Source organism: Homo sapiens, chromosome 13 (genome assembly GCF_000001405.40).
Source record: "Homo sapiens chromosome 13, GRCh38.p14 Primary Assembly".
Lineage (NCBI taxonomy): Eukaryota > Metazoa > Chordata > Mammalia > Primates > Hominidae > Homo > Homo sapiens.
In genome coordinates this window covers 111,359,608-111,368,000 of record NC_000013.11, presented here as the reverse complement: position 1 = coordinate 111,368,000, position 8,393 = coordinate 111,359,608, and positions in this window count along the sequence as shown.

Below are 8,393 nucleotides of genomic sequence, written 5' to 3'. Positions count from 1 at the left end.
CCAAACTTAACTTTGAGGAACATGGAAGTAAGTGGCCGGTAGGTAACATCTCTCTCTCTTTTTTTTTTTTTTTTTTTTTTACTTTAAAAACACTTTATTACTTTTGAGATACCAACATTTTTATCTAAGGAAGTTAAAAGATTTATTTTTAAATACTTCATTGTTTTGAAACACAAAAACTTTCCTCTTGAGAAACCTGAACAGTAGAGATGGATTGTACTAATTGATATACAGTTATGGCTGAATAATTTTTTTAGGCTAATTATTATTCACAATCTGCACATTTCATCACATTCTTTTTTTATTATTATTATACTTTAAGTTTTAGGGTACATGTGCACCATGTGCAGGCCAGCTACATATGTATACATGAAAAAATGCTCACCATCGCTGGCCATCAGAGAAATGCAAATCAAAACCACAATGAGGTAACATCTCTTATAGGCTCTCTCACCAAAACTTCTGCCTCCACATCTAAGCACCTGTCCAAATGCTTAGCACAGTCAGATGCCTTTGGAGGAGAAAGTAGTTCATACCCACGGGTGCTGGCTAGCCCTCCACTCAGGCCATGTATTGGTTCCCTTCAGTCCACACCAGTCAGGCTCACAAACTTCACAGCAGAGCTCAGCCCCCTGGGTTGCACCTCTGATGTGATGCAATGTCGAACAAAGAGCCATACCCATGGGAAGAACATTTCTGGTTGTTTTTGCATGAATTGAAGTCATGCCTCTTGGGTAAAAGTCCACAGAGCAAGTTATACCTTGAAAGCAAGACAGGAAAACATGAGTCTGTCAAGATGAATTTGTTTGATGCCACTAATCACTGTATAAGGACCCTACATTTTCTTCTTTTCTTTGACTACCAGGAACCTCAGTGTTAGGTGGAGCCTTTGACTGGCCCCTCCACCCCCACACCAAGGTCACTGTCCTCTAACCTTTCAAGCGGCTCCTGTTCTGTTATCACACACTGGCGTGGACCGGCTGGGCCACCATGGTGGAGTTCTGGTCCATCCCTTTCATTCTTGGGTTGCTGGCACCTACTTTATAACTTACATTTCTATTTTGTCGAAGTGTATTATAATTATTTGTGCTCTTGTACCTCAAATGCCTGACAATGGTAGGCATAAACAAGTATAAAAAGTTTGGAAAATACATAAGAAAATTAATATTTCCGGCAATCCTCCCACCCAAGGATAAACATGGACAAGAGTTTTGTGTGTTATCTCCCTGTGTTTTCATTCCCTGCATTTATTTTGTGTAAATGCAACAAAGGTGAAACATTTATATAGTCCTGCATCCACCCCGCTTTTTACTTGAGGTATTATAAGCAGTTTCCCATTAAACTTTTTGAAAGTATGATTTGCAATAGCTGGCAGGCATTTCATTGTATGGCTGTAACAAATATTATTTTTCTACTGTGGATGCTGTTGAACATTATGGCCGCGTCTAGATTTTTGCCATTGGAAATAGCGCTTCAAGGAACATCCTTGCACGCACACCTGATTCTGCTTCTGTTTTGGGCCTTATGAACGTGTCCCAAGGATAGAGTTCGTCTTCCTTTAAAAGCTCACTGTACAATCAGGACGCAAAGGCCAGGGTTCCTTCATTACAAGGACAGGAGAGGCTCTTAACTTGAAGCTTCATTAAGTTACAAACAATTACCTGGTATTATTACATAAGCATGATCTCGTTAGATTGCCCAGATACATCAGGAGTCTGATGGTAACTCCCAATGGCTCCTTACAGAAAATGGTGAACCTGTTAACCTGTAGCTGCTGAAACTGGCTCGGTGCTCCCTGGCAATTTCCACACGCCTCTCTTCCTCCCCTGCTGTCTGGTTCCTATTCATCCTCTTCCCTGAGTTCCAAGTCATTTTGGCCCTCTTGCCAGTCTCCACTGGAAACAGTCTAGAGGCAAATGCAGAGTGGTTTTTTTCCCACTAGGTTTATAAGTTTCCAAGTTCAAATTTCAAATAGAATAGTCCCATAAAAGAAGCCTCAATATACTCTAGACATAATCACGGTCGGTGAACCCCAGGGAGGGAAGAAGGCGTCCAGGAAAAGGGAAGCCAGCTGGACGCACTGAAATTCACACCTAGGGGAAGAGGCTAGGACTGCCCGTGACCACCATACCTGGCCATGGAGGTCTGGGCATCCTCCGGGTGTAGCTCAGCACATCAGAGCGAGAAAGCAAGGAACTGACCATGAGCAGATTGGGCGGTCAGAAATTGGGGTGGACCATGCTCTGCTCTTTCACGTGCTTTGGTTGCAAAGGAAGTGAGAAGGAGAGGGCACTCCCTTGAGAAGTTAGGGAGAAATAAGGCTTTGGGTTGTCATGGCCAGGGCACTTGCATTAGGTACCTAGTGTTGTGTACTCACCCACCACGAGATGTAGTCACTGACAACGACAACGTTTATTCTGTTCACAAACCTGCAGTCTGGGCAGGGCTTGGTGCGGACCCCTCATATCTGCAACCTCACTGGGCAGGGTCATCTGGAGCCCCACACTCACATGCCTGCCCTGGGCTGGGAAGGCACAATAGCTGCGGGAATCAGCTGGGCTCCTCCAACATCCCCCAGCCTCCCCAGAGTCTTGACATAAGGCCTTTGCAACAGGGAGGCAGCCCCCACCCCCCATGTTGGCTTAGAGCTCTTGGAAGAGAGCCAGGGGAAGAGGCAGCCTCTCCTGTGACCTAGCCTCAGAAGACGCGCAGCATGGCTTCCAGAGAATCCTGTCACCACATAAGCCCAAAGGCTCACCTGCCTCCAGGAGGAGAGCAAATACATGTCGCCTCTTGCTAGGGGAGTGAGAAGGTTCTGGAAGAGATGCAAACCAGAAACATGGCTGTGAAAACATCTGGAAAACAATCTGCTACAGAGGTGTGTTTCACAGTTTATTGAGAGAATTCTTAGAACATCCACAGCACCTGTTTTAAGTGCATAATTAATAGTTTTTCATAAATTCACAGAGTTGGGCAGCCACACCACCATTTTATTCTAGAACATTGTTGTCACTTCAAAATAAATTCCATAGGCTGGGCTCGGTGGCTCATACCTGTAATCCCAGCACTTTGGGAGGCCAAGGCAGGTGGATCACCTGAGGTCAGGAGTTCGAGACCAGCCTGGCCAACATGGTGAAACCCCGTCTCTACTAAAAATACAAAAATTAACCGGCATGGTGGTGAGCACCTGTAACTTCAGCTACTCCGGCAGCTGAGGCAGGAGAATGGCTTGAACCTGGGAGGCGGAGTTTGCAGTGAGCCAAGATCGTACCTCTGTACTCCAGCCTGGGTAACAGAGTGAGACTCTGCCAAAAAAAAAAAAAAATATGTATATATATATATATATATATATATATATATATATATATATATATATATATATATTCCATACCCATTAGTACTCATTCTCACTCTGTCCATTCACTTATTTCTTAAAAAAAAAAAGTCTACTTAGATCCTTTGTCAATTTTTAAATTTGGTTATATGTCCTTTTACTTTTGAGTTGTAAGATTTCTTTATGTATTCTAGATACAAGTCTTTTATCAGAAATGTGATTTGCAAATATTTTCTGCCATTCTGTGAGTTTTCTTTCCACTTTCTTGATGATATAATTTGCAGCATAAAAGTTTTTCATTTTGGTGAAGTCCAGCGTATTATTTTTTTCTTTGTCATTTGTGACTTTTGTGCTGTATCTAAGAAGAAACCGTCATCTGACGCAACCTCATGAAGTGTCATTCCCATGTTTTCTTGAAGGGTTGTTTAGTGTTAACACCTGCATCCAGGTCTATGGTCCATTCTGGGTGAGTTTTGGGGACAGTGTGTTGAAGTCCACTGCTTTCTTTTGCATATGTGCCTCCAGCATTCCCAGTTCTCGTTGTTGAAAAGATTCTTCTCTCCTCATCTTATTGTCTTTCTACCTCAGAGTTTTAGGAGAAGGGAGACTCAAGCATGTTTGGAAAGAGATTTAAGGAACACGAGAGAAGATTATTCATAGAGCAACGAACTGCAGCAGGAAAGAAGACTAGATTGAAGACCAGGCTCCCCTCTAACGTGTGCAGGATCCAAGACAGCTGGGCTGCCCTTCCCGGCCCATCCCTGACTCCATACTGCACTAGGAGAAGCCACGTGTGCAGGTGTGTGGATACCCAGCCTGCATGACCAGCCTTCCCATAGCTGCCCATCAGCCTGAGGACTGCACATGCCCAGGAGAACAGCCCAGGGAAGAAACCCCCACAGACCAGCACAAGCTTGGGGCCACTTGTGCAGGGAACTCTGGGGCAGGTACCTGGAGCCTGGGCTGGAGGCAGGGTGTGGGCTCACAAGCCTGTCTGCCAAGCATCGTAGCTTCCGTGTCTCATGGAGACGATCGTGGCCAGAGGGCCAGAGAGGAGCTCTTTTGAGTCCAAAGCACAGGGCAGTCGAGTAAATACTGGAGGCTTTCTTAGCCAAGTGGTCCCTGTCACAGTTACTTAGCTCTGCAGCTGACCTGTGAAAGAAGCCATGGAAGTACACGGACGGGGGTGTCTGTGTTCCCATAAAACGTCGTCTACAAAAGTAGGCGGTGGGCCAAATTTGGCAAGCACCATCTATGCACAGCGTGGAGGTGTGGGCCCCGGTTGCCTGCATCCTCAGTGCTGCCCGTGGACTTGACCAGAGAAGCTGGGAGGGAAACCTGTCCTCCTCCTCATAGGGGGAAAGGCATGAGACGAAGGGCAGGTACAGGGAAGTCCTGACGTGGGGGACAGAGGCTCAAGGGAACCAATCACCGTGCTGACCTCAGGAACAAGATGAGTTCCCCTCCTGGGACCTTCACTCTTAACTTCTGGGGATGGCAACATAACTCAGTCCACCACCTGACACGGAATCACCCAGAGCTTCCACACTTTGCAGCCCTGAATGGAAGATGCAAGGAAGGCACCTTGTCCCGCGGGAGAGAGGAATTCAGCTAACTTGGGCACGTGGCTGCTGACAACCAGAATCACTCGGATTATGTCCTGTGGCTGGAGGGTAATTTTTAGGAATGCCAACACAGAGTTTTCTCCCGTTCTTCTTGTCTTCCCCCCCACCTCCCTTGTCTTCAGTCATTCTTTACATCGTTCTATTTCTTGTCCACTTTGCTGGAGGATTTTCACCTTACTCATGGATCCCAGGGGATGAGGGTGGCAGGTTCCACCTCAGTTCAGCCACATCCCATCTGTGTGACTCTGGTGACATTACTTAGCCCCTCTGAACTTGTGTTTCCTTGTTTGTAAAAATGGGTACGATCATACTTCAAGGTATTATTTTGTGGATGGAATTAAATTAAACCACAAGGGTCAAGTTAGAGGCTACACAATCAGACACAGTTGCCCACATATGTTTAAGTAGTGACATCCTTGATCACAGCAGTGGGGTCAGACTTAATCGTGCCCTCAGGAAGTTTCTGCAGTAAAGGAAGCCTGTCTTCACCTTAAACTCAAACAGGCAGCTGGTTCTGGTTCTCGACCTTGTCATAACCAATAACCTCAACTTCCCCATAATTTCCATTGCACATGCCCTCTGCCCTTCAGCCCCAGCCACTCACAGCTCCTCTCCGTAGGACCTACCTCCTCCCAGGTTCCTCGCCCATGCTGTGGCCTCCTCTCCTCTGCACCCAGGTTATTTTCATGTTCCTTTTATTAGAATGTCCTGACATGCACCCCTCACCCCCACCCCACCTCCCAGCATCACACTCGACTGGCTAACCTACGGCCCAGGTTCAACCAAGCTCCCCACCTGGCCATACCTGCACCCATGCAGCAGCACTGGGCAACAGAATATGCAGCTTCCGAGATCAGTTGCATTTTAAATTCACAGCCACGTCCCCATGGGCACCTAGGGCTCTACTCTCCTAGATCTGAGCGGGCAAGCACCTGAGGACACTGCTAGTATAGAGCATTGACTGAGTCCGTCAGGGGAGGCACAGGTCACTGCACCTCTCACAAGCTCCCAAGGCCACACCTGGCACTCTGAGCTCCTGGAGGGAGGTCCTGGAGGGAGGTCCCACATGGGCTCCTCTCCTCAAACCTTCCATGCCACTGCCTCAGCTTCCTGCTGTGGCGATAGCAAGTCACAAACTTAATGGCAAAACCACAGCACAGAGGGGTACCTTACAGTTCTGCAGTCCCAAGTCCAACCCAGGGCCCACAGTGCTAAAATCACGGTGCCTGCGGGGCTGTATGTCCTTCCGGGCACTCTAGGGCATAATTCATTCTGTGCCGTTTTCAGCATCTAGAGCTTCATTCGCTGCTTTCGGCCCTTTCCCTGTCTCCAAAGCCACCATCGCTGCATTCCTCTACATTTCCTCCACAGTCACGTCCCTCTGAGTGCCGCCAGAAGGGGCTCTCCACTTTTAAGGGCCCATGTGATTAGGTTGGTGCCACCTGGAGGATCCAAGATAATCTCTCCATTAAGACCCTGTCCCTCAGTCACAGCTGTAAGGTGACTGACATGTTCACCGGTCCTGGGGACTCGGATGCAGATGTCTTTGGGGGCCTTTATTCTGTTGTAACAGCCTCTTTCCCATCCTCTCTTCCAATGGATGACCTTGGCTCACCTGCAGGATTTTGGCAATCTCGCCCTCACCTGCACACTTGGGTGTGCCCTGTGCATCACGCACATCTTACCAAGTCCCAGGCACGTAGCCAGCACTGCATGGATGCTGGTTCACTTTTTCATCCAAAAGGGCGGACTGGGTGCTGCTTGCACACAGCATGAAGTAGGCTGTTTTCCACGGGCCAGACAAAAGGCTGCGCCCCCACCTCCCAGCTGTGGCCATATGGCCTTGCCCACTCCCTTCTACAATGCCACCAACGTCCCATGGCCAGGAGAATCTTCACCAAGCAGCACTTGGAGCCACCATTCCCCTCCCACCCCGGTCCCATACTTGGTCCACTTGTCCAGGTCGTTCTTTCTATTTAGATATATCTGTCAACCCAAAGATATAAATCGTGCTTTGTCCACTTCCCACCCACTATCTGGAGGAAAAAAGCCCCCGTGTGATGTGGAAGACGGACCCTCCCCAGCAGAGGGACCCCAGCTCCTGGTGGCCTTTATTCTAAGCACCCATATTTAACGTCTCAAATCACTCTATGAAAGCAAAAGATCAAGAATCATTTCTAAAAATCTATTTGCTTGAAACCTAGAAACAAGAAAAAAAGAAAACACTTGAAATTGTCATGGGAGGGAAGGCAGAGTTTTGAGCCCCCAAAAATGTTCTGACTTTACTGTTCCTCGTGAGACTCAAAGCAAACTCGTGGGTGGGTTCAGGAGGGTGTGGCGCCCACGGGCAACATCAGTCCCTGTGGACCCTTGGAAGGGGGAAGGGGCTGCGCTGCCTCAGGGCGGAGTCAAACACGCTGGGTCCAAATTAAGGCTTATCAGCAAGTTCATTATCTAAAAATAAATCAGCTTTTCTTTGCTTCATCAAAAGATCAGATTATAGTGTACGCCGCCTCACTTTCAGAAGAAAATGTTTTTATTCTTTCACAAGTGAGGACAATGAAAATTATTACATAATCTGTCAGGTACTGTATAGCCCCATTGTGAAAGGGTATTTTTCCCCTGCAATGAGGGGTATGGAGTAGTTTCTGCCATTGTAAAAGCACAACAGGCTTCAGCAAGGAAGAACAAAAACAAGTCAGAAATGCAGTCTGTAAAAGAGAAAACATTTGCTGCCAGTGTGTGTTTCAGACGGGATGCTCTTGGCCAGAGCACAGGCTTCCTTCAGGAGCAGAGCAGCCTGGCTCCCCCAACACAAGAACCTCGTCCTCCCCCACCTCGGCATGACCTTGGCCAAGACACTTACTTCTTCTGTGAATTTACAAACCAGAGGTGATTACACCTGGGCCTGTCCCCTCACAGCATGGTGAGGGCCGCGAAGAAAGTGGATTCGATTCTCCCCATTGTGGACACCAGAGCTGGTCTTCACAAGAGCCTGTAACTCTCTCTCCCACCCCAGCTAGCAGGTGAGGCCAGGCAGCAAAAACCCCTCCATGGGAGGGGGCTGCAAACTGTGCCTGTGGGAACAGTGCGTATGAGACTGCCCTCACTTCAGAGAGAGGCCATGAATTTGGGGTTCCCAGACTAGATTGTAAGTCATTAGAGTGACTTACAGAACTCAGAGAAGCACCTCATTTACAGTCACACTTTTACTCTAACAAATGCATGAAGGCTGGAACTAACCCACGAAGAGACACACAGGGTGAGGTCTGGGAAGGTCCCAAATGTGAAGCTTCTGTGTCCTCAGAGTGTGTCACCCCACAGGGCACGTCACCCCGCAACACATCAGTGTGTGTTGCCAACCGGGAAAGCACCCCTGAGTCTCTGTGTCCAGAGTTCGTAGTGAGGCTGCATTACAGAGGCATGGCTGGGGG